Raw genomic sequence first — 27,332 nt, 5'->3', positions numbered from 1 at the left:
CTTAAAACATTTATTGTTACCTCTCATAGCTTTTTGGATTAACTGGGCTCAGCAGGGTGAGTATTGCTTTGGGTCTGTCATGTAGTTGCAGTCAGATACTGGCTGAGAGTTTAGTCATCTGAAGGTTTGCCTAGCATGAAAATTTCACACAGTTACTTCTGCTAGATTCTTCCTGGCCAAGCAAGTTACTAAATTCAGCCCAGATTCAAGTGGAGAGGAAGTAGACTCCATCTCTTGGTGTGGGAGTAGCATGTGGGCATAGGGAGAAAAAGAATTGATGGTGGCCGTCTTTGGAAACTAGCTATCACAGCATAATTGATGAAATTATTTCAATTTAAGTAGGAGAGTTCCACATCATTAATAGTTTGTGACATATATCTGTAACAGCCAAATATTGCTCCTGGTGTTTTTTTGGTTATTACATTTGCATATTTGTACATTGTATTACTCGGAATGCTGAATGTATTTGTCCAGTTTTTGGCCCATTTTTTGCTTAGGTTCATTCATGGCATTGGACGATCCGGTGATATTTCTGCTGTGCAACCAAAAGCTGCAGGCTCTAGCCTTTTGAACAAAATTACCAATTCTTTGGTCCTGGACATTATAAAGCTGGCTGGTATGTACCGTCTTAATCATAATGCTTTTGGCTGTCTGGACACACACACACACCACTGACTCATTTCATTTATTATTGCCCCTTTCCAAAAAGAGTATGAGTGGCTTTTGAAAAGACTTCTTTTTTTTTTTTTTTTTTTTTTTTTTTTGAGACGGAGTCTAGCTCTGTTGCCCAGGCTGGAATGCAGTGGCGCGATCTCGGCTCACTGCAAGCTCCGTCTCCCGGGTTCACGCCATTCTCCTGCCTCAGCCTCCCGAGCAGCTGGGACTACAGGTGCCCACCGCCACGCCTGGCTAATTTTTTTTTGTATTTTTAGTAGAGACGGGGGTCTCACCGTGTTAGCCAGGATGGTCTCGATCTCCTGACCTCGTGATCCGCCCGCCTTGGCCTCCCAAAATGCTGGGATTACAGGCATGAGCCACCGCGCCCGGCCGAAAAGACTTTTTTTTTTTAAATAAAAAGTCTTTAGAATAAGATAGAAAATCAGAGCCATAAGCCCTGAAGTTGAATTTGGCATTGAGCTTTCCAAGAGCGAGTACAGAAACAGAAGCCCTAGGGCTACGACTCTTACTATTTTATATATGAAATATATTATTTCCTCAAGAAGGATGCTGGGTGCTTAGCGGGATAACAGATTTCTGTTTTGCTTCTTATTTGTAGGTGTCCATACAGTAGCCAACTGCTTTGTAGTTCCTATGGCAACTGGTATGAGTCTAACTCTGTGTTTCTTAACATTACGACACAAAAGACCAAAGGCAAAGTATATTATATGGCCACGAATAGACCAGAAGTCCTGCTTTAAATCCATGATCACTGCAGGTAAGAGAAGTGTCATACATAATGTTTTAAACATCATAATTATGAAATTCAGATTTCTTATATAAAGATAGATAAATGAAAAATAAACTAACTCTCTTCCCTATTGCTTTTTTAAAAGAAAAAATTGTAAAATATATGTAACAAAATTTAATGTTTGTATTACTTTATGCAACTTTTAAGTTTATGGATACCTAAATATCTATGGTTCCATAATTATTATTTGTTGGGGGACCTTTGCGTATATACTAGTTAAGTGTACTGTTTTAATTGAAAATGTGAAAACAATTTTTATGCAAAATTTACAGTATACATTTTGTTTTCATAGGAGGCTTTTGTAGGCTATGAGATGGATCAGTGATCCTTAGGCTACTGAAATTTATTATGTTTTTCTTTAGAGGTAAAACATTAAGTAGATGATTGTGATTTGTTTCACTGAGTGAATTGTATTATTATTTATGTCCATCTCTGAAATAAAATGAACTTTAAAATAAAACAGAAATATCACCAGAGAATGAGTGGACTTATTTTTCTGTGGATTGAAACTGAACTGGATTAAAGTGATCCTTTTTGTCATCAGTGTCTATGTTATTACTTCTATAGATATCTATTTAACATTTGTTTTCCTTACTTTCCAGAATTCATTCTTGTCATATCCAAGTGTTAAATAGACTTATGGTCCTAAAATTGTGTAGTAGTCCCTCACATTATTTTGACCTGCCTTTGACTAATACCAGTACTGAGCCGTGTATTTATTACCAGAGGAAGGTTAATCTACCAAAATAAATATTAAGAGTTCTTGTGTAGAATAGCATGCTTCCTAGAGTTTCAGGATCTTCCCTTATTTTAGTTCACACTAACATTTTGTTTTCTGGTTGGTTTGGTTAGGTTTTGAGCCTGTGGTGATAGAAAATGTTTTGGAAGGTGACGAGCTGCGTACAGACCTGAAAGCAGTGGAGGCTAAAGTCCAGGAACTTGGGCCTGATTGCATTCTGTGTATTCATTCTACTACATCCTGTTTTGCTCCAAGGGTGCCTGATAGGTAAATGATTTGTGAATATTGTCCTTTAGCTGTTTATCAGTCTTTTAAATAAAATATACTAATTCTCAAATATGCTTAAATAACACTTCACAATAAATAGGTGAATGGTCTGTTCTAAGAGAATAGATTGACCTTGTGGAGAAATAGCATTAACAGCTTGGGAAACCAACCATTTGAAATATAACAAGGAAAAACAATTAGTACAGGGTGGGGAGCTCCCTTTATCACCTGAGTCGATGCAGACCGTCTCTGTTTTCTTGCTCTTTGTCCTGTTTCTGATCTCTTAGCATGTTTTTTCTTATTATTTAATAGAAGTTTCTTTTCTAAGCTAAATGTTGGGTTTACTTCTTTTCATTGCTATCAGTATTAATAAATTAAAAAAAAATTAGGATTGTTTACTTTCAAATTTCTGTAATTGGAAGATTAACTCAGATTATACCTTAGGTGTGCATAGTGGTTGTCATTGTCTGCGTTTTGAGAATAATACAAATATTTAAGAAAATAAAAGCAAAAAGGAAAGAAAAAGCAAAGGTTTACTCTTCTAAAGGATAGCCACACATTTTTATTCTGAAAATGTAATAGGCTCATGTCTAGTAATACAGATTTCTGTTTTTGACTACAATTTTTTTTGTTTCATTTTAACATTTTGAATGGAAGTGGTAATAATTTGTAAGCACTATATTGACTTTGGGCTTTTCTTGTAGCATCAAATTATACTTTGGTTTTAATTCATGGAATTACATTATTTGGCAATAATGAATTCTATGTTGGCTTTTGTTATCTTACAGGCAGATTGTAAGAGACAGTTTTTTAACTATGCTCTTAAAAATTTACCTTGCTACATTCATGAGCCTGTGAACTCTATTTTAAGATTACTTTTCATATGCTTTGTGGTTTATTCATTACTTACCAATCAGCTTTCAAATTTGTATTGAAAAATAAGCATTGTTCTTTGTTGATGGTTTTGATAGCTATAAAATTTTTAATGTGATAGAAATCACATTTTGAAAAACAGCATATGGATATTTGTGTTAGTTGGATTATTTATCCTTGTGGATACTTTGCTTTCGTTTCATTTTGACTAACGTCTTTTGAATGTTTACAGTATGCCTGGCACAGTGTTAAGTGTTTTACCTGTATTATCTCCTTTAGAAAAAATTTAATGAAGATTTTTATCAGTCAGAAAAATTCTCATTTGTCACCGTTGTGTAATGAATATTTCTGAGTAAGAGCAAAGTTTAGGAAAAGGGTGATGCACAGTAATGTTTGAATTTCTGACTTTATTAAATTTTAAAACCACATTTTGTTTTTTGTTTTTTTTACATTGGCTTCATTCCTTTTAATTTTTTGGATACAGTATACATTTTGTTTTTATTAGTTAATTAATCAGACAAAAACTATTGTGGAGGAAATTCACTTAAGGGAAATGTTGCAAAAAAGAAGGGTATTATTTCTTCTAACTGATAAACACCTTAAATTGGCTTCTAAGTTAGAAAACAATTTGATACATATGAAAAATATTTTTTCTGCTTCTCCTTTCATTTAATACTTTTTTTTTTTAACACACCCTAACCATTAACAGATTTAGGTAATTCAGATTATTTAAAACTACTCACAAGTTATTTTTTTTCTTTTAAAAATAGAGCTTAATGTTATGGAGCCTTATTTTCAAAGAAATTATTTATTAAGGAATATTTTCATTAGAACACACACATATGAAAGTGCCTTTTATTTTATGAAGAAAATACTTCTGTGTATCCCAGAGGTCTATTTTGTTAAAAACATCATCTGATTAGTTTGAAGTAACAAAAAGGATGTCTATATCAATTTGTAGGGTTTGTGAAAATGAATGATAAAATGAGTTTTTAATTCATAAGACTTCAAGCAAGCAAATTGATAACTTGTTTTTGGTCTGAGGCAAACTGGACAAAAAAAAGAAAACTTGTAACAGATGAACATAATGGTATTCCTACTTACAGTTAAAAATATATTAATGACATCTACTAGAAATAGGACATGTATTATGCGTAAATCGGTAATTCAAACTATATATTTGAAGTATATCCTGTCAAAAAGGACTTTACTTGTATAAAAATGCTTTCAAATTCTTTATACTTTAGAAAGAAAACTTTTAATAATTTTACTAAAACATAGGATTTAGTTTTAGTTTCATAGCATGAAGACATTTCTATTAAAGATGAGCTCAGTCACAAGAAGTATTTGGCTTTGTGAAAGAACATCTATTTATTATGCTGTCACTGAAATTTATTACCTTACTTTGCATAAAGTTAGACTCTCAAATTAGATTAATATGAGAGGTGTAAAATGAAAAAGTAAGAGTAGATAAGGGTGGATTTAAAACCAGTAGCTATTTGGAAGATTCCTCAGTATCCAAGTTGTTGGAAAATGTTAGTTATTTTGGTAATGACACATTTTAATGTTCTGTATTTTTTAATACATTAAAGTCTATTTGAGAATGCATTTTTTATTTTATGAGATGTTTAATGTGAGATTTCTTAAGATTCCAGATATGCTAATTATTTTGCAGATACTAGCTTCAGTATGGTAAGCAACCAAAAGTGGAAAAAAAGAGCATACCATCTTGTGAGGGGTCATTATAAATAATCTTCTGGCTTTCTGTTTAGGGAATTTTTAATTTTAAAATGATTTATCATCTACATAAATTTTTGTATTTTTTTTGTATATTGATAACATTAATTTAAAAGCCTTTTTAGGTTTATTCGAAAGAGCTTGCTATGTATTTCCAAGCTGCTGAATTACATGTCAAAATACTGCAATAGAAATTTCAGTGTTTGTCGTTTTTTTCCTTTGGTGTACATTAAGGATAACTATTAAATTTTTAAAAAACTTTCTGCACTATCATTTATAAAACACAGTGTGAGTATGTCTTTCTATTGAATATTTATGTTTATAGATTAGAAGAACTGGCTGTGATTTGTGCTAATTATGACATTCCACATATAGTTAATAATGCTTATGGAGTGCAGTCTTCAAAGTGTATGCATCTCATTCAGCAGGTAAGAGAGTTTAAAATGATATGTATGTCAAGGAAAAATTCATTTTAACATATTATAGGATTATTACTTTTTCTTACAATCTGATATAGTAAAACAGTTATTTATGACCATCTGCTTCAGGTTGTGTTAGGAACTTACATCTGATAATCTCTCAATAAAAGTCATTATTCTTTGATACTGTGGTGATAATTGGACTGATAGCTTTGGTAGGCTAGAATCAACATAGAAATACTTTAGTAGTTTAGCTTTTAACTTTCTGAGACTGTTTCATTACCTGGATTTTCATTTTTCTAATATACTGGATTATACCATTTAAAAAGATATGATTTAGTCTATATTTAAGGAATTATTGTACCTTATTATCTTAGACTAGAAGTGACTTCATTTATAAACATGCTAGTATATAGCTGTGGAATTGGCAGGTTTTTGTATTTTTTTTTAAGCATCAGCTAGATCCTGGTCATTTGTTTTAGGTTCTAATTTTGAAAATATGTCTTTGTTTCCCATGTGACTTATAATAAGAACTATGGCCTACAAGGCTTTGTGTATTCAGGCCTTTGCTGATTTGCTGATTTCATTTTCTACTGCTTTCCTTTTGCCTGCTGTGCTCCAACCACCCTTGCTGCCTTACTTTTTTTCCATTTTGTCACGTGCCTGCACTTCCAGGCCTTTGCTCTTGCTCATCCCACTTGCTGGATTGCTCTTCTAGAGAGTTGCGTAGCTTTCTTTAGGTCAGTGAGACTTCCTCAGAAACTCTGTCAGTGATTGTTATTATTGACAATCAATAAACCGGTTACTGAACAAAGTGAGTGAATAAATGAAATATTGTGTTTATTTATACATGTATGATACAGGCTATATAGTTTGTGTGCATAATGATGTTAATATACATACTCAGTTTTGACATACATGTCAAACCCTATCTAACACCTCCCCCTTCCTTGCTAGCGTTTTCTAGTTTTTTATTTTTTTGAGATAGGGTCTCACTCTGTTGTCCAGGTTGGAGTTCACTGCAGCCTCAACTTCCCACGCTCAAGTGATCCTCCTACCTCAGCCTCCCGGGTAGCTGGGACCACAGGTGTGTGCCACCACACCCAGCCAACTTTTTGTATTTTTTCTAGAAATGGGGTTTTGTCATGCGGCCCAGACTGGTCTCAAACTCCTAGGCTCAAGCCAGCCTCCCACCTCGGCCCCACAAAGTGCTGGGATTGCAGATGTGAGCCACTGCGCCCAGCCCTTGCTAGCATTTTCTATCCTTCTTTTTGCTTTTTTACCATGTTCATTGATTTTAAGATGCTATGTTCTACATTTTGACATCTGAAATTCTGATGTCTTAATAATCAGTGGTGTCTTACAATGTTAATAGGCAGTGTTTTTTTTTTACGTAGTGACATATAAAATAATGATGTTTCTTAAAATTGATGGCTCCTTGCTATTTTTCTCCAGAACACTTATCACCATTTGATATAATGTTTGTTATTGACAGTGATTAGAATTAAGGTTCTGTTGGGGTAGAACTTTGTTTTGTTCACTGCTGTGCCCTCAGTACTTAAGACAATATCTGGTACGTAATGGACAATTAATAACTGGTTACTGAACAGTCAGTGAATAAATAAAGTATTGTATTTATGCATGTATGGTATGGACTACATAGTTTGTGTGCATAATGATGTTAATATACACATACAGTTTTGACATACATGTGATTTGTGTTATGTGGGCATAAGTTATTCACAGATTACCTGTGTCTTGCTCCAATATGGTAAATGCTCTGAAGCACAATAGATACTATCTAGTACATTTTTTGTCTTTTATATTATTTTTAGTATACTAATATCATCTTTTACATAAATGTGGTTTATATGAAATAGTAATCACTGATTTGCTTAACTTCTTTACTCAACTTTGTATCAGTTAGGATGTCATTGGCAGCAAGTAACAGGCACCCAACTCAAGTTGGCTTAAACCAATAAGGAAATGGATTAATTTATGTAGCAAGTCCAGAGGTGGAGTGGGTTGTAGGCATGGTGTGTTGGGATTTCTTAAAACCTTTAGAGAAAGACTGTTTACCATTTCCTTGGTATTTCTTTTTGCTATTCCTTAACTTTTTAAGGCTTCTTCACTTATTGTAGACTAGGTTATATCTAATTTGTATGGTCATAGAGGAAGGGTGTACAATTTTCTACACTGGAAATCTTGAAAAACATTTTATTTCAGTGATTGATTTTTATTCCTCCTTTCCCTTTCCCTCTTGCTCTTCTTCTGTGTAATTTTTAGCAGCTTCTCTCCTTTTAAAAGTCAAATACCATCAGTATTACTAAAAGTTTAGGAAAATGAGGAAGGAGTAGAAGATCACTCATAATGCTATTACCCTAACAAATACCCTTAACAATTTATGTATTTACTTTTTCTCTTTTTATATGCATATTGTTTTTACATAGTTATATTCATTGTGTACATTTAATTTTTTTAGTGTTATATTTCTGTACCCTTCAGATGCTATAAAGTTTTCATAATGATCATTTTAATGATACAACATATTTTTAAATACTAGAAAATTTGGTGGTGCACCTGAAGAGGTTAAAACTAAGAGAGGCTGGGTGTGGTGGCTCCCCTCTGTAATTCCAGCACTTTGGAAGGCTGAAGCTTGTGGATCACTTGAAGCCAGGAGTTTGAGACCTCCCTGGGCAACAAAGCAAGACTCCATCTCTACAAAACTAAAATTTAAAAAAAAATTCTCTGGGTGTGGTGGTGTGTACTTGTAGTCCCAGCTACTCAGGAGGCTGAGGCAGGAGAATGGCATGAACCCAGGAGGCGGAGCTTGCAGTGAGCCAAGATAGCCCCACTGCACTCAGCCTGGGTGACAGAGCGAGACTCCGCCAAAAAAAAAATAAAAGCTCCAGAATACAATAAGAAAGGTGCTCTTGGAGTTGCACATCCCTAATACTCTGCTTTGTCATTACCTCTCTGCATTTGGGAGGTGGTTTTACTAAAATTTTAACCAAAAAATAAAACTATAAGATGGATGAATAAACTTTTAAATGCAGATATTGTTGCAGATAATGTATTACCTTCTAAAGTTGACATTTGTTAAAAAATTTCTTTGATACCTAATATCTGGGTATATTTATGGAGTGCAAATGATATTTTGATACATGTACAGATTGTGGGATGATTAAGTCAGAGTACTTAGGCTATCCATTATGTGGCATTTATTATATCTTTTTGTGTTGGGAACATTTCACATACTCTCTTCTAGGTATTTTGAAATATACAATACATTGTTGTTAACTATAGTCACTGTACTGTGCTATTGAACGTTAGAACTTATTAAAATGGACATTTCTTTAAAACAAAAAAAGCAAATATATAAACATTCTATTTTTCCCAAATTGGCCTTCACCAAAAGAGGTTGTGGCACTATTGATTTAAATCAAATGAATACTTGAGTCTTGTTGAGTGCAGGTTGCTGTTTCATGACATTCTAAAAAATTAAAGTTAGCCTTAATTCATCTCAATAGTCCTTATTGTTAATATATACCATTTACTACACACTCTCCATGTGTCAGGCATCCTACTAGGCTTTTTTTTTTTTTTTTTTTTTTTTGAGACGGAGTCTCGCTCTGTCGCCCAGGCTGGAGTGCAGTAGCGCGATCTTGGCTCACTGCAAGCTCCGCCTCCCAGGTTCACGCCATTCTCCTGCCTCAGCCTCCCGAGTAGCTGGGACTACAGGCGCCCACCACCATGCCTGGCTAATTTTTTGTATTTTTTAGTAGAGACGGGGTTTCACCGTGTTAGCCAGGGTGGTCTCAATCTCCTGACCTCGTGATCCACCCGCCTTGGCCTCCCAAAGTGCTGGGATTACAGATGTGAGCCACCGTGCCTGGCCCTCTACTAGGCTTTTAAAGTTATCAGCTGAATCCTGACAATTTAAGGTGTACTTCTTATTCCCATTCTGCACATGGGGAAATAAAATAAGTGGGATTAAGTGACTTCCCTAAGGTCCTGTAGCTACAAAATAGCCCATCTAGTTCAGTGCGACTCCAAAGTCCCATTTTTCTGTTAAAAAACAAAGTACTAAAATACTAATACTGTAAGTCTTTTCTTGAGAAAATAATATTGCAATAATCAATCAATGAAGAAAAGTATAAATAAATTTTTTTTATTTTTATTGTTTTAACATTATGTTTTTAACTTTTTTGTTTTTAAGATGAGACCCCAGAATGACTTAAGGCTGAGCATATAGAGTATTCTGTATGCACATAACCCCACCTCCAGGGGAAGTTAGTTTTGAGTAACCTATATTTCTGTTTATATTTACTAAAATGACGAATTTAAGAGATTCATGAATTATGGATGTTAGGATAGATTAATGGAGAGGGATATAGTAGAGTCACAAAAATATGCATATAAGACTGATTATTTTGAGTCACAATGGATTGTAAAGTTCCAAAAGTGTGGGAAGCAGCAACTTTGCCTGTTCAGAATTTGAGAGAAGTAGGTATTACTACTGTTTATTCACAAACCCAATTGTCACTTCATTCAACAAATACTTTCTGGGTTCCTGCTTGTGTACCAGGCACCAGGGTAGGAACTGGAGATGCAATAGTGAATCCAACAAAATCTTTAACCCTCATAGAGCATTCTATTTTTTGTGCGAAAGCAGAGAGTAAACCTTGAGTATGACAAGTCTTGGATAAATGCTCTGGTATTTGGGGAGGATGGATATCATTAGATGGAGTGATCTAGGAAGCACTCTTCAAGAAGTACATGTGAGTGGAGCTCTGAATGATGCAGGAGGAAGCTTTGCAGCTCTCTAGAGAGAGAGATTCCAGTCAGAAGCTAACAGCCAAGACTCTGAGGCAGGAGCGTGCTTGGAATATGTGAGAAATAGCAAGGAGGCCAGTATGGCTGAACCATAATGAACAAGGTGAACAGTGGTTGTAGAGCTTTGAGGTGTGTTAAGGGTTTGGGATTTTGTTTTTGGTATGATCATTGGCCATGGAAGGATTTCAAGCAGGAAAGAGTGACATGCTATGTGGGAAATAGACTGTAGGGAGGCAAGAGTGGAAGGCTGTTGCAGCAACCCATATGAGATTTTTTGGTGGCTTTGGCCAGGGTGGTAGTTGTGAAGGTGGTAATAAATGCTTTTATTCAGATGTATTTTGAGAGTGGATTTTAGAGCATATACTGATGACTTAGATGTAGCTGAAAAAGGGGGTCTTGTACCATTTCTGAGATTGGGTCTGGCCTGTTTGTTTTCTTGCCACAGAATGTGCTGCCTTTTAAATGCTTTCTGTGTTTTAGTGATGGAAGGGTTCTAGCAAAGTCTGGTGCATTGATTCCTCTAGTACTTCTGCTTCCAGTTTAGGTTCCTGTTTCTCTCAGGAGGCCTTGGACAGTACTAAAATGTTAATACAAAGGCAACTCTGACTGTCCACTTATCTTTATATGCTGCTACTTCGCATGTTTTCCAGTTTTTTTTATTCTGTTAGTCTTATATGCATCTCTCTATTTTCCTGTGATATGGTGAGATTTTCTCTGATCATGGTTTATTAGGAAATTAGAAAGAAGAGGAAGAGGAAGGTTAAGATTTGAACAGTTGTATAATGGCCTCCAGAGCAGCTGCTCCTCTTCCCTGCTTCGGCTGCTTCCACCTGTTGCCTGGATCTGGACTCTGAGATTAGGCCAGCTATCTGCTCCTTCTGTTCTCCCTCAGATAGCAAGGTGTGAAAATGAAGGTCAAATATGGTTATAATATTAATAGGAATACAGATTGTGAATACAGATTGAAAATCTGTGGCTACAGATAAAGAAAAAGACTATGTTAGTTGTAATTTAGACAGTATCTCTATTTTTAAGAGGAGAAAATTGAAGCACATTAGACAGAAAGTTGGATGAGGACCGAACTTAGTTTTACATTTCTAGTAGGTAAGTATTCAATTTTTCACCGGAATATTAGATTTTCACTGGAAGTTCATTTGCAGTGGAATGAAATCTAAGTTTATAATATTAGGGAGCATGAGTTATGTAGAAACATTGCTTCTAGAATTGCCAAGAGTATACAAATAAAACTTCCATTAAGTGATGTTAAAAGTAAAACTTTGCATTTGTTTTTTATCTGAGTGCTTAAAATGGTCATACAGGTAGTAGATTGTCCAAGCATTAAAGAGAGGCACATGTATAATTAACTGTTTGGCAACTCGGATGGCTATAGTCCATTAGGTTATGGTGGCCACCCTCGAACTCACAGAGGATGTTTAAAACCACTTAATAGTTATAGGACCCATTGTAGACATTTGTTGTCAAAAAAAGGAGCACAGATGAGAGGCATGGGATGAATCCATTCTTTCTTATCAAATTTTAAGGTGTAAAGCTTTGTTTCATTAAAGTTCCCACCTGAGCTGATACTGAAACCGTGCTTGCCTCACAGAGTTGTTATGAAGATTAAATGATTTATGTGTGAAAGCAGGTTGTAAACTTAAAGTTGCACATATAAGGAGCACCATTAAAAATTTTGGTTTAATACTTAAAAACATTTTCTTGGCACTATTACAAAGAAAATAAAAATAAAATTTTTCAATTGTTTTTTCCATGCATTGTTTTAATGGTGTTTATTTTTATTCTAAGGTAGAGTTGACAAAAATTGTATATATTTACAGTGTACAATTTGATGTTTTGATGCATGTATATATTGTAAAATGGTTAAATCAGGCTAATATATTAATTAACTCAAATAGTTATAATTTTTTGTTGTGGTATTTGTTTGTTAATAGCAGTTGTCTGTTTTCCTAGCAACTAATATGTAATATCATATTGATTCCAGGGGGCTCGAGTTGGTAGAATAGATGCTTTTGTTCAGAGCTTGGACAAAAATTTTATGGTTCCAGTAGGTGGTGCTATAATTGCTGGCTTTAATGATTCATTCATTCAGGAAATCAGCAAGATGTATCCAGGTAAATAAATAAGTTGCTTTTCAGAAAAAGTAGCTAACAAACAAAAATCCATTTGTACATAGGCTATTGTAGTAAATCTTAATTTCCAAAGCTACCCCCCCACCACAGTCTTAATGTAACTTATCCTTCTTATTTCAGGAAGAGCTTCAGCTTCACCTTCTTTAGATGTCCTTATTACTTTATTGTCACTTGGATCAAATGGCTATAAGAAGCTACTAAAAGAAAGAAAGGTAAGCTTTCCCTTTAGGTGTCGAATAACATTCTTGACTAGAACTGTGCTCCAAATCATTGGTGTTTTCTGCCTGTTGGTTTCTTGCACTGGGAGGGAGACATCTAGTATGGTCCGATAGTATTTATTCAGATCTGGAACCACCATAGGTGGTTTCCTATTACTTTTTGTCAGCCTGTCTATCCAGATATTACGAGGAATCTGGGTTAGGTGATTTTGCTTTTATTTATTTACTTTTTAGAAACTCCTGCATTAGGGACTCTTATTCAATAAAATTCAATTCATTTATCACTTAAAGGTACTTAAAGGTAGAAGCTCTTAAAAGACAAATGGATAAGTCATCTTTTTAGTTTTTGGAAACTTGAAAATTGTTTAGGAGTGAGATGTCAGTCACAAGAGGAAGAATCAGGTCAGAAGTTAGCTCTATCTTTTTTTTTTTTTTTTTTTTGAGCGGAGTCTTGGGTTGGAGTGCAATGGCACGATCTTGGCTCACTGCAACCTCCGCCTCCCAGGTTCAAACCATTCTTCTGCCTCAGCCTCCCGAGTAGCTGGGATTACAAGCGCCCGCCACCACACCCGACTAATTTTTTGTATTTTTAGTAGAGACGGGGTTTCACTATGTTGGCTAGGCTGATCTCCAACTCCTGACCTCGTGATCCACCCGCCTCAGCCTCCCAAAGTGCTGGGATTACAGACGTTACCCACCACGCCTGGCCTATTTCTTGTCATTATTGAACGCTGAACTCATTGGTTATATTGGTTATGAAAAGAAGTTACATTTATATTTGAAAACATGACTTTATCTCCAACACAACTAGCTTAATTCAGGACACCTCCAAAAGACAGAGCTTGTATAGCTAGGGCAGGCAGTGTTTTATTCATCTTCTATCTGGGAGAGAGTGAGTCCTCTGGTGCAGTTTTTAAATCTGATAACTTTCTAGCACTTAACAACAATTGTAGTCCCTTATATTTATAATAGTACTTTATATATTCTAAAGCATTTTCATATGTATTATCTCATAGATGATCTCATAGCCTTAGGATGAATACATAACAAGTTTAAAAATCTTGTGCTCTGTTTTACCCCAGTCTTCCTTCCCCTACTAATTCATTCCATGGGATAGTAATTGTTTAATTGTGAGGACATTTCTTAAGATTTATGTGATATAGGAAAAGATGCTCAATGTCATTAGTAATTAGGGAAATGCAAATTTAAAACCACAATGAAATACCACTACACACCTTTTAGAATGGCTAATGTACCGAAATATGCAACAAGATAATGACTCTCAAATGCATTATGCTAAATGAAAGAAGTCAGACTCAAAAGGCTACATATTGTACAGTTTCATTTATATGCCATCCTGGAAAAGGTAAAAAATATAAGGAAAGAAGAAAGATTAATGGTTGCTAAAGGGTAGGGATTGGGGAGGGAACTTTTTAGGGTGATGAAACGTTTCATGTCTTGATAGTGGTAGTGGTTTCATGACTGTATATATTTGTCAAAATTCATAGAAGTGGGCACCTAAAAAACAGACATCCCGAATTTTACTATGTGAGCAAATTGTACCTCAGTAAGTCTGACAATGAATTTTTATACAATAAGAATAAAACTCTGGTTTTATAAACTCCAAATTGTAATCATTCATGGTCGTAGATTGTTGTAGCCAAGAGAAGACTGTGGCAAATCTTTCAAGAAAACAGATCCATATGTCAGATAACAACTCTCTATAGATGAGGAAAACTTGTCATCTGCTTCTATGAGAGTTTAGTTGTTTCAGTGGTTCTTAGCTCTCCTATAACTAGTCGTTTCGTCCTGGAAAAGTTTTAAAGATTTTATTTCCCCATTTGTGAAAGACACAATTGATATCTCAGGCCACTTTTAGTCTTAAAAGACTCTAGAATATTTCTTAAAAGAGTTACTTCCTGGACTTTGGACATAATAATCATGGGAACTGGCCTGTAATTTAGTAATCCAGTATAAGGCATATTGGTAATATAAATTAGACATTTTGTAAATTTGAGTTTTTCTTTTTAACGCAATGGTCTCTTCAGTTTCATGTTACCTCATACCCATTTTTACCCTTATCAAGCTGTCTTGGCTTCCCTCCCTGCATCTGAATAAGCCCACTTAAAATAGCGTAGTCTAAAGTACGGAAATGCAAAGGTAAAGTTGAATGTGGGATAAGATTCGAGTAAACATTTACTGTGTATTTATTGACCACATGTCATGTGTCAGGCATATAGATATATATAGATATAGCAGTCAATACAGTAGATAAAGATACTTGCTCTTGAGGAGCACACATTGCCTATGGGGGAAACCAGCAATAAACAGGCAACATAATATAGAAATTACAAAGTTTGCTTGAAGGTGAAAAGTGCTATGAACAAAAGCAAGAATAAGGAGAATTTGGGATGATGAGGTGGTGGTGGGAACTGATTTTTAAATATAGTGATTAGGGCAGGCCTCATTGAGATGGTGACTTTTTTTTTTTGAGATGGAGTCTCGTTCTGTCACCCAGGCTGCAGTGCAGTGGCGTGATCTTGCCTCACTGCAACCTCTGCCTCCCGGGCTCAAGTTATTCTCCTGCCTCAGCCTCCTGAGTAGCTGGGATTACAGGCACACATCACCATGCCTGGCTATTTTTTGTATTTTTAGTAGAGACGGGGTTTTGCCATGTTGGCCAGGCTGGTCTTGAACTCCTGACCTCATGTGATCCCCCCACCTTGGCCTCCCAGGGTGTTGGGATTACAGGCATGAGCCTCCGTGCCCAGCCCAATACCGTGACATTTGAGTGAACTTGAAGTTTGAGGGAATATACACATATGATGGTGAAGTGCGTTTCAGGCAGAAAGCCAGTATCAGGACTCTAGGCCAGATGTGGACCTTGGGTATTTGAGAAGCAGCAAGGAGGCCAGTGTGGCTGGAGCAAAAAGAGCAAGGAGAACTGTGGGAGTTGAGGTCAGGGTGGTAATGAGGGTGGGGCTGATCACGTGGGGCCTTCTAGGCCACAGTAAGGTCCGTGCCTCATATTCTGAGTGAAATAGGGAGCCACTGGAGGTTTGAATTGAGTAGAATGATCTGACAGGCTTTGAATGCTCACATTGATAATAGATTGGGGGGCAAGGGCAGAAGCTGGATGGATACCTGTTAGGAGCCTTCTATAGTGGTTAAGAAGTGATATTGGCTGGGAGCTAGATGGTGGCAGTGGAGGTAATAAGAAGTGGTTAGAGTCAGGTTTGACCTGAGCAATTGGAAGGATGGAACAGCCATTAGCTATGATGGGGAAGCTGTAGGTTTTGGGGGAAGACTAGGAGTTCAGTTTTGGACAAAATTGAATTTGAATTGACCTTAAGATAGAGTTGCAAAGTAGAGAGTAGGATATACAAGTTTAGGATTAAGAGAGAACTGGGCTGGAAATAAAAATCTGGGAGTTAATTGGCCAAGAGACTAGATGAGATTGCAAGACAGTGAGTGTAAACAGAAAAGAGGTATAAGGACTGAGCTCTGGGCACTACAGCATTAAGAGGTCTGAGAAAAGCAACAAGCAAAGGAGACTTAGAAGGAACATTCAGTGAGGAGGAAGACCAAGAATGGTGTCCTAAGTCATCCCTTGGTATCACTCAGATACCAAAATCTTTAGATGCTCAAGACCCGTATATAAACTGACATAGTATTGTCATATAAATTATGCACATCCTCCTGTATTCCTTAAATCAACTCTAGATTACTTATAATACTGAATACAATATAAATGTTACATAAGTAGTTGTTATACTGTATTGTTTAGGAAATAATGTCAAGAGAAGAACTCTGTGCATATTCAGCACAGATGCAATTTTTTTTTTTTTTCAAATATTTTCAATCCACACTTGGTTGAAGCTGTGGAGGCAGAACTCATGGATATGGAGGACCAACTGTGTATTAAGGAGGAGGGAGTGATTAGCATAGCTGATGGCACTGATAGGTCAAGTAGGGTGAGCATTAAGATTTGACCATTGGTTAGAAAGGTTTCATGTAAAAATCATTCTTAACATAGTCTTTCCATGCAAAGTTTGTGTTTATACAAATACCATATACATCCTTATACATTTATATACATATGAAATAATTACACGTAATACTGAGCACTTACTATGTGGAAGGCACTCTTCTAAGTACATTTTTATGTATACATTTAATCCTTAAAATATTCTTATGAGGTATTGTTATCCTCATTTTCATAGGAAATCGAGAAGTAACATGTATGAGGTGAATTGTGGAATATGGACCGAAATCTAGGCAATTGGGTCTCCTATTCTCTGTCTTAACTTCTAAATTCTACTTTGCCTTTTTAAATATAGAAGATAACCTAGCCTGGTGGATTTATATGGCTGTAAATCTCAAGATATGGGTCTACTGATATCTAAAGGAGACAAAAACAGTGAATAAATCTAGCTACTCTGGCCAAAAAAACTCAGTTATATTTTAGAGAGGATATATGTTGTTTGCTTGTGCAGAATCACTGTCATTGGAGAACTGCTCCTCCCTGACTCCAGGTGGTCCTGCTGAGTCTATCAATTACAGTGTCCCTCCTCTTTCATATGGTGGGCAGATGATCTGGCTAGCCTGGTTCACAGGCATGTGGAGATAATGTCCTTCCAGTAGATTTGATTGATCCTTTAGAGACAGGACCTCTTGCTTTGCAGATAGTAAGCTGTAAGGATATAATCTTACAACTGTCAGCTGCCGTATTTCTAGCCATGCCAAGAGAGACTTCTCAACACTAGGGACTATAAGAAGAAAAACAGAATTAAGTCATTTGAGACTCTATCCAGCCATGCCTGCTTGTGGACTGGGCTGTGAGATGAAGCAGTAAATTCCCATCTCTGTTTTAAACTTTCTAATGCTGATACTTTTGATTCCTTTTATACCCTTAAGCCCTTATATCATTAAGTCCTTCACAATGTTTCCAACATTCATTTCTTTCCATTTCCACTGCTATCACTCCCTAATTTAAGTCCTTACCACATCACACCTCATGGTTACAGTAATTTATTCACACTTCTCCTGTTCCCCCACCTTGGTCTACTCTAATTTGTCACATTGTAGAGCAGTGCCAGGTTAATATTCTAAAGACACAACTTTCAGAGGCCAAGGTGGGCAGATCACGAGGTCAAGAGATTGAGACCATCCTGGCCAAGATGGTGAAACCCTGTCTTTACTAAAAATACAAAAAGTAGCTGGGTGTGGTGGCACACACCTGTAGTCCCAGCTACTTGGGAGGCTGAGGCAGAGAATCACTTGAACCCAGGAGGCGGAAGTTGCAGTGAGCTGAGATTGCACCACTGCACTCCAGCCTGGTGACAGAGTGAGACTCCATCTCAAAAAAAAAAAAAAAAAAAAAGACACAACTTTCTTCAAGTTGTTTTGCTTTGGGTTCTGGTTGCCTACAAGACAAAGTTCAAACTCCTTTAAAAATAGTATTGGCCCCTGCTCATTCATTTATTCATTCAAACAAATATTTATGTGTAGGCCCTAAAGCTAAATCCACAAACAAGACTGACTTAGTTTTTACCTCCATGGAAATTATAGTTTTTGGAGGAAATCTAGATATTAAATAGTTACAAATCTGATGAGAATTATGAAAGGAACGCAAGAGTGTGTGAGAGCATCTATTACCAAACCCAGCTGGGACACCTACCCCAGATCTGGAAGGGTCAGGTAAAATCTCCCTGGAGAAAAGACAGTGCATTTATTCATTGACATTCGTGGTGTGGTCCTAAGGTAATACTGATGGCTAGTACAACTGTGGAACTATGAAAGGGTGTTTTAAGCTGAGTCTAGAAAGCAAAGTACTGTGCAGTTATTTGAGAGTTTATGTTTTGAGTCACTTTATAAAATTAGCTTTCCTTTAGGGTAGATTCAGATTCATTAGATCAGAAGGAGGGCTTAGACAACTGCATTTTTAACAAAATTTTCCTGATGAATTTTGGTGCAGATTCATGTTTGATAGCCCTTGTTTTGGGGCACATAGGTCACTTGTATATATAACAGAAACTTGGAGAGGAAACATACAATGTCATAGCATTTTAACACTTATACATAGGTAGATAATATTTTATGGCATTTGAGATGAAATGCATAAATATCCCAAATATCAAAACTTCGAAATATAACATTAGTTATCTGTGTTTATTTCTGATCTTTTGTAGTCTTTTTTCTTAGATTTTTTTTTCTTTTTTCTTAGCTGCTTTTTGTTTTATATTGAGCACTCCTCAGATTTGGCTAAAATCATAAATTTATTTTATTTATTTATTTAATTTTATTTTTAAATAGAGATAGGGTCTTGCTATGTTGCCTAGGCTGGTCTTGAACTCCTGGACTCAAGCCATTCTCCTGCCTTGGCCTCCCAAAGTGTTGGGATTACAGGCATGAGCCTAAGTTTATTTTTAAACTAAATAAATGGAATATATTATAACTAACAATAAGACCATTATACAAAATTATAAGTCATTTTAAAAGTATACTTTATTATATAGATAGTAACTTTTAAGACTAAAAAAATATTATTTTAGGTTCTGGGGTACATGTACAGGATGTGCAGGTTTGTTACATAGGTAAACGTGTGCCATGGTGGTTTGCTGCACCTGTCAACCCATCACCTAAGTATTAAGCCCAGCACGCATTAGCTATTTTTTCTGATGCTCTCCCTCCCCCTGCACCCCTCTGACAGGCCCCATTGTGTGGTGTTCCCCTCCCTGTGTTTGTGCGTTCTCATTGTTCAGCTCCCACTTAGAGTGAGACGATGCGGTATTTGGTTTTCTGTTCCTGCTTTAGTTTGCTGAGGATAGTCTTCCAGCTCCATCCATGTCCGTGCAAAGGACATGATGTCATTTCTTTTTAAGGCTGCATAGTATTCCATGGTGTAGATGTGCCACATTTTCTTTATCCAGTCTATCATTGATGAGTGTTTGGGTTGATTCCATGTCTTTGCTGTTGTGAATAGTGCTGCATTGAACATACATGTGCATGTATCTTTATAATAGAATAATTTATATTCCTTTGGATATATATCCAGTAATGGGATTGCTGGGTCGAATGGCATTTCTGGTTCTAGATCTTGAGGAATCCCCACACTGTTTTCCAAAATGGTTGAACTAATTTACATTTCCACCAACAGTGTAAAAGTGTTCCTATTTCTCTGCAACCTTGCCAGCATCTGTTGTTTCTTGACTTTTTAATAATCACCATTATGACTGGCATGAGATGGTATCTCATTGTGGTTTTGATTTGCATTTCTCTCATGATCAGTGATGTTGAGCTTTTCTTCATATGTTTGTTGGTTGTATGGATGTCTTCTTTTGAGAAGTGGCTGTTCGTGTCCTTTGCCCACTTTTTTATGGGGTTGTTTGATTTTTTTTCTTGTAAATTTGTTTACGTTCATTGTAGACTGGATATTAGACCTTTGTCAGAAGGGTAAGTTGCAAAAATTTTTTCCCATTCTGCAGGTTGTCAGTTCACTCTGATGATAGTTTCTTTTGCTGTGCAGGAGCTCTTTAGTTTAATTAGATCACATTTGTTAATGTTTGCTTTTGTTGCAATTGCTTTTGACATTTTCATCATGAAATCTTTGCCTGTGCCAGTGTCCTGTATGGTATTGCCTAGATTTTCTTCTAGGGTTTTTATAATTTGGGGGTTTACATTTAAGTCTTTAATCCATCTTGAGTTAATTTTTGTCTAAGGTGTAAGGAAGGGGTTCAGTTTCAAGTTTCTGCATATGGCTAGCCAGTTTTCCCAGCACCATTTATTAAATAGAGAATCCTTTCCCCGTTGCTTGTTTTTGTCAGGTTTGCCAAAGATCAGATGGTTGTAGATGTGTGGTCTTATTTCTGAGTTATCTATTCTGTTTCGTTGGCCTATGTGTCTGTTTTTGTACCAGTACCATGCTGTTTTGGTTACTGTAGCCCTGTAGTATAGTTTGAAGTTGGGTAGCATGATGTCTCCAGCTTTTTTCTTTTTGCTTAGGATTGTCTTGGCTATACAGACTCTTTTTTGGTTCCATGTGAATTTTTAAATAGTTTTTTTCTAATTCTATGAAGAATGTCAACGGTAGTTTGATGAAAATAACATTGACTCTATAAATTTCTTTGGGCAGTGTGGCCATTTTCATGATAGTGGTTCTTCCTATCCATAATATGGAATGTTTTTACATTTGTTTGTGTCCTCTCTAATTTCCTTGAGCAGTGGTTTGTAGTTTCCCTTGAAGAGTTCCTTCACTTCCCTAGTTAGCTGTATTTCTAGGTATTTTATTTTCTTTGCAGTAATTGTGAATGTGAATTGTGAGAGCCAAATCATGAATGATTTGGCTCTCTGCTTGTTTGTTGTTGTATAGGAATGCTTGTGATTTTTGCACATTGATTTTATATTCTGAGACTTTGCTGAAGTTGCTTATCAGCTTAAGAAACTTTTGGGCTGAGACAATGGGGTTTTCTAGCTACAGTATCATGTCATCTGCAACCAGAGACAGTTTGACTTCCTCTCTTCCCATTTGAATACCCTTTATTTCTTTCTCTTGCCTGATTGGCCTGGCCAGAACTTCCAATGGTATGTTGAATAAGAGTGGTGAGAGAGGGCATCCTTGTCTTGAGCTGGTTTTCAAGGGGAATGCTTCCAGCTTTTGCCCATTCAGTATGATATTGGCTGTGGGTTTGTCATAAATGGCTATTATTATTTTGAGATATGTTCCTTCAATACCTAATTTATTGAGAGTTTTTAACATGAAGGAATGTTGAATTTTACCAAAGGTATTTTCTGCATCTATTGAGATAATCATGTGGTTTTTGTCTTTAGTTCTCTTTATCTGATGAATTACATTTATTGATTTGCGTGTGTTGAACCAGCCTTGCATCCTGGGGTTGAAGCCTACTGAGTCATGGTGGATAAGCTTTTTGATGTGCTGCTGGATGTGCTTCTGGTTTGCCAGGAATTTATTCAGGATTTTTGCGTCGATATTCATCAGGGATATTGGCCTGAAGTTTTTTTTTTAAAATTTCTGCCAGGTTTTGATATCAGGATGATGCTGGCCTCATAAAATGAGTTAAGGAGGAGTCCCTCCTTTTCAATTGTTTGGAATAGTTTCAGAAGCTTCTCTTTGTACCTCTGGTAGAATTCAGCTGTAAATCTGTCTGGTCCTGGGCTTTTTTTGGTTGGTAGGCTATTAATTACTGCCTCAATTTCAGAACTTGTTATTGGTCTATTCAGGGACTCAACTTCTTCCTGGTTCAGTCTTGGGAGGGTGTATATACGCAGGAATTTATCCATTTCTTCTACATTTTCTAGTTTATTTTCATAGTGGTGTTTATAGTATTCTCTGATAGTTGTTTGTATTTCTGTGGGTCAGTGGTGATACCCCGTTTATCATTTTTGTTGTGTCTATTTGATTCTTCTCTCTTTTCTTATTAGTCTAGCTAACAATCTACCTATTTTTTATTAATTTTTTAAAAAAACCCACTCCTGGATTCGTTGACTTTTTTTTTTTTTTAACGGTTTTTCGTGTCTCTGTCTCCTTCAGTTCCACTGTGATCTTGGTTGTTTCTTGTCTTCTGCTAGCTTTGGGATTTGTTTGCTCTTGGTTGTCTACTTCTTTTAGTTGATGTTAGAATGTCAATTTGGGATCTTTCTGGCTTTTTGATGTGAGCATTTAGTGCTATAAATTTCCCTTTTAACACTGCTTTAGCTGTATCCCAGAGATTCCAGTATGTTATCTCTTTGTTCTCATTAGTTTCAAAGAACTTCTTTATTTCTGCCTTAATTTCGTTATTTACCCAGGAGTCATTCAGGAACAGGTTGTTCAGTTTCAGTTGTGTGGTTTTGAGTGAGTTTCTTAACCTTGAGTTATAATTTAGTTGTGTTGTGGTCTGAGAGACTGTTATGATTTCAGTTCTTTTGCATTTGCTGAGGGGTGACACTTTTAAGATTTCTATATGCTGCCATTATAATGCCAAATAAGCATGTTATTTAGTATTTCTTGCTTTTGTTCTTGACTTCGAAACCATAAATAAAAATAATAATATGCCATATTTACTACAATAAACTAATGTAAGTCTTGAGTAATTTTGTAGTTAAACTTATTTAATTAGCAAATTAAACTGAGAGTTTGAGTGTACTCTTCTAAAAAATTACTATTATGTGTCTGAAATGAAACTTGGTCCTTAATTATGAGTACTTTGGTAGAATAATGCCCCCTTGGAATTTGCCATCCATCCCTCTATTCTTAGCATCCCTTACTTGATATATAGTAGATGCTCATCATATGTTTGTTGAATGTATGAACACAGGGTATTTAAGAACACCTGGATCAAATGTTGTATAATCATCTCATATTTTATATAGAATAAGTGTCTTTCTGGAAAATTAGTCAGAAAGCAAATTTTATACACACACACACACACACACACACACACACACATTTTTAAAGATATGGGGTCTTGCTATGCTGCTCAGGCTGGGCTTGAACTCCTGAGCTCAAGCAGTCCTCCCACCTCAGCCTCCCAAGTAGCTAAGACTATAGGCATGTACCTCTGTGTCCAGTTGCACATAATATTTTGATACCGATTTCCATTGTGAATTCTATGCACTTTTTTTTTTTTTTTTTTTTTTTTTTTGAGATGGGGTCTCATTCTGTCACCCAGGCTGGAGTGTAGTGTCATGATCATGGCTCACTGCAGCCTTGACCTCTCTGGGTTCAGGTGATCCTCCCACCTCAGCCTCCTGAGTAACTGGTGTCCACAGGTGCATGCCGCCATGCCAGTCTAAATTTTTATTTTTTTTTACTTTTTGTAGAGACAGGGTTTTGCCATGTTGCCCAGTTTGGTCTCGAACTCCTGAGCTCAAGCAATCCTCTTGCCTCAGCCTCCCAGAGTGCTGGGATACAGGCATAAGCTACTGCACCAAGCCTTTTTTTTTTAAGGGAATAATCTACTGTATATTTCTATGTTCTTATAGAAACATTTCTCTAAATATTCAACTATATGGATATAGTCAAAAACTTGTGAAAAGGAATGGAGATTACCTGTTGTATATAACAGGCATTGTACTTCCTGCCTAGCAGAAGCACTTTTCTAGCCTTAAGATTTTGGAATTGTTGATTTTAGGGATTTTGTCATCTTTTTGGAATTTCTGTTATGTCTTGATGTTCTGTCTTGTGACATTTAGGATTTTGACTTTAAGATTTTTGACTACTTGTAGATGATTGATTCCAAAGGCCCATGCATGTGTACATTTTGCTTAGCATGAGTGAAAATCCATCTCCTTTGGAAATGACCTGCAGGAATATGTAGCTCAGCTAGTAAATGAATCCAGCAGGCAGCTCAGTTTCATTGGGACTTTGTTCTTTATTATCACTGGGTAAACACTTTATGGGAGAAATTTTATGTTGGAGTAGTATTCATGAATTGGATGCCTTCATCTCAGATGTCAGGAGGTAACTCTCTTTGTAACATTCAGAACTTTGTTCTTTTCCTTTTATCTAGATATATAGAGTAGAGTAGAATAAACAGGAACAGGACAAGAACAGGATTATAGCTACAGTGTATTATCATGTGTCTGTAGGAGTCCTGCTAGCTAACTTTAGTTTTTTTTAATCCTGAGAACTCTTTTAGGCTAGGGGAAAAATAGGTGGGTGGGGAGCTAACATTTTTATGAATGTCTCTGCTGTATGCCAGGAACTGTGCTAGATTCATTGTACTTATTATTTCCTGTAATACCCAGAGCAAGTGTATGAGGTAGGAATTATCCCCATTTTGCAGATAAAATTGAGGCCCAGAGGAGTTAAGTACTCGCCCAAGTACCACTTATAAGTACCAGAATTGCCATTGAAACCCAGGTCTGTGTGATGCTAAAGTCTGTGCGCTTTCCGTCTTACCACTTTCTTGTCACTGCTTCCAGTCACTCATCCGTTGTTGAGGGAGTGATCACTGGCCCTGTGCTAGGCATTTGAGCCATAAAGATGATGATCTTGTGACCCTCCCACTCTAGTGGAGGTATGTAAAACCCCAAAAGCTCTCTAATGTACTAATTGGTTTTATTTAAAATTCTCTGTATAGAATTTATAAGAGAGAATATCTCTAGGAGTAATTTTCAAAGTATTACGATGCCCATTTGAGAACTCTGTCACTGTAAGTTAAAGTTTGCTTTTTTAACAACTTCATTTAGTAGGCAGGTTTCTCTGTTGAAAAATGTGGATGTCCTCCATAAACCATAATTGCATATATGTAGCATAAATATTGTTTTTTTATTGGATTTGTTGCAGAAATAAGGGCCTCTTTTGTTTAAATGGACTTGCTTTTGAACTGTGAAAATTTAATTGTGATAGTTTATTGGTTCAGCTCTGGAGAAGCTGAGGCAAAGCTATTTTGCTCCAGCCAGAGCTATTTATATACCATCACTGAGAGCTCCTTTTTATATTATTGGTGTTATTGTGTACTAAAAAAAGGAATGTTAGAAGAAAACTTAGAATTTTTTTCATTCTATGCCCTTATTCACCACAATGATATTTTTAGAGGTTATTTCATCTAGCTCTATCTCTTCAGAAAAGGCTTTATCTTTTTCACAGTAGTGGCAGACAAGAACTCAGCTTGAAGCCATTCCTTCTTAAGCTTTCTTTTTTGAAGGGTGAAAGGATCAGAGAGAGTGGAGCTCTGTGTGTGAATTGAGCCTCTTTGCCCTTATCCCCTTCCTGATCAACACATTTGCTTCATTGAGGGGAGAAATAACCATGAATTTAACCCCTTTTAAAAAAGAGGTGAAAATGTAAGACTGTATCTTTTAGTTTGTCTATGCAGAAAGAAAGTCTATGGTCTTAGAAGTTTATCCTCACTTCTGTTTTGCTTCTGGAGAAGATCATTATTCTGTTTAGCTTTCCTTTTAGAAAAGTGCTTTGCTGAACAGGGAAGGCAGGTAATCATTTATTGTTGCAAATATCTGCTGAATTGGATAAGAAGAATAACAGCACTATGGCTGCTCAGTGGCTGGAATTTGTGAGCTAAGAACTGGGGGACAAACTAAGTTTTAAAAGAACATCATACACTTCAGTGTCCTTATAGCAGAGCTAAGTTTGAAAACACTACTAGATTTGCAGCCCTGTAAGTGGAGTAGTTGAATCTCTGCAGAAGCATCTGATTTCAAGCCTACATATGGGGCCTTAACAACTTGAATGCAGATGGGTGTAGCCTCTGAGGCAAGATTCGCCACTTGCTCCTGGATCCTTTTAGGTGGCCACAGTCATAGACAGCAGCATGTCATATTTAGTACTGTTTTCCTCCAATATGGACATCTGTCTGCTTCAATATTTACCTACTCTCGGTCATCCATCCATCCATTCATGTTATCTTTGAAATAGTAGACTACTGGGTATGTTTCTTTTGGTTTATTACCTGCCTTCTGAAACATATTGTAATAATATGTGAGGTTCCATTTTTATTTTATCCTATAACATGAAACAGTATGTTTCCAAAGGTGTGATTACATAAGACCGTTTCACATAAAATTTAGTGAATTATGCACATCTTTGGATTCTGGGAGAGACGGGCTAGATGTCGGATTTCATGACTACAAATCAATTTGCAAAAGGCCATATGAAAGATAATGCTTAATATAATTCAACTTCTCTTCCATTAACATCTTGAACTGTGGTGTAAAGTTTTGTATTTTTATTCTAGAAATATAGCTGACATTAGCATTCAGGTATACAGTTCAGTTTATCTCTAGTGAAAAGTCTCTTAAAATTAAGTTAAATACAGCACAGAGAACATGGAAAATCAATAATATTTCATTTCTTTTAAGTAAGATCTTTCTATATACATTTGCTTGGGTTGCTTATAAATTTCTTTCTTTACAGAAGTATTTTATAATAAATGCCAGTTATAGATTTAACTGTAGCAAAAAATAGTACAGGTTCGGTAGTAGCTTTAATATATCAGGTAAAAAACTGCTTAGCTAAGTATTAGTGTAGGATAGTGGTATAGTCTCCTAAACGATATTTTTAAAATGTAGTAATATTAATAGGAGAGCATTTAGGAGCTTAACATGTGGAATATTATAGAATTCAGCCTATTGTGCTTTAAGATATTTAAAACATATTTGCTTATTGGTTTACTTATAACCCTTTACACAGAGTAAACATATTGTAAATATTTGTTGATGGATGTGAACTTGCTTCAAATTTTTTTAAATCTAATTACTCCCGTACTAGTGATACGAGATTTAATTACTTTAGTGTTATCCTCGTAGTCTAAAAATACTATCCTAATATTACCTACAGTTCAAAAGGAATTCTAGTGGCATTAGCAAGTGATTGATAGAACTGGTAAAAACTAATTTGTTAAAGTATTAGAAGTTGAACATTGGGCAAATTCACTTTTTAATAGCCATGTATGCATCAGTAAGTTTAAAAGCACCCTCCAGGGGTGTTATTTAGGAAACATTTTCTCTTTTTTCAGAAATAGCTAACCTGAGTACAAATTAAGTACTCATCAGGTTCAGCTTATTCACAAATGTGACCACATTGGCATTTAATGTGGCTGCCAAAGTAGATAGAATAATATTTTAAATTGTCTTCACCACTGAAATATGTAAACTGGAGAAAATTTT

General features: G+C 36.0%; 1 protein-coding gene across 6 annotated transcripts in view, besides 2 other annotated features; it reads left to right on the top strand.

Annotated features, from left to right (window-relative positions):
- SEPSECS (Sep (O-phosphoserine) tRNA:Sec (selenocysteine) tRNA synthase) overlaps positions 1–27,332 on the top strand; it is a 40,569-nt gene that overhangs the window by 3,111 nt on the left and 10,126 nt on the right. For all 6 annotated transcript variants that reach the window (XM_047415762.1, NM_016955.4, XM_011513846.3 and 3 more), the window contains 6 exons: positions 498–616; positions 1,277–1,435; positions 2,321–2,474; positions 5,410–5,512; positions 12,339–12,468; positions 12,607–12,698. In XM_047415762.1, the coding sequence (XP_047271718.1) occupies positions 498–616; positions 1,277–1,435; positions 2,321–2,474; positions 5,410–5,512; positions 12,339–12,468; positions 12,607–12,698 (757 nt within the window). The remainder of the gene's footprint in view (positions 1–497; positions 617–1,276; positions 1,436–2,320; positions 2,475–5,409; positions 5,513–12,338; positions 12,469–12,606; positions 12,699–27,332) is intronic.
- Positions 24,866–25,392: an enhancer, noted in NCBI's record as "OCT4-NANOG-H3K27ac hESC enhancer chr4:25133702-25134228 (GRCh37/hg19 assembly coordinates)". NCBI's record gives its function as "activates a minimal SCP1, AML or CMV promoter by ChIP-STARR-seq in primed H9 embryonic stem cells {active_cell/tissue: H9 hESC(primed)}" and the evidence as "EXISTENCE:reporter gene assay evidence [ECO:0000049][PMID:30033119]".
- Positions 25,393–25,919: an enhancer, noted in NCBI's record as "OCT4-NANOG-H3K27ac hESC enhancer chr4:25133175-25133701 (GRCh37/hg19 assembly coordinates)". NCBI's record gives its function as "activates a minimal SCP1, AML or CMV promoter by ChIP-STARR-seq in primed H9 embryonic stem cells {active_cell/tissue: H9 hESC(primed)}" and the evidence as "EXISTENCE:reporter gene assay evidence [ECO:0000049][PMID:30033119]".

The sequence above is a fragment of the Homo sapiens genome, chromosome 4 (genome assembly GCF_000001405.40).
Source record: "Homo sapiens chromosome 4, GRCh38.p14 Primary Assembly".
Classification (NCBI taxonomy): domain Eukaryota; kingdom Metazoa; phylum Chordata; class Mammalia; order Primates; family Hominidae; genus Homo; species Homo sapiens.
This window is presented reverse-complemented; position numbering and strand designations above follow the sequence as displayed.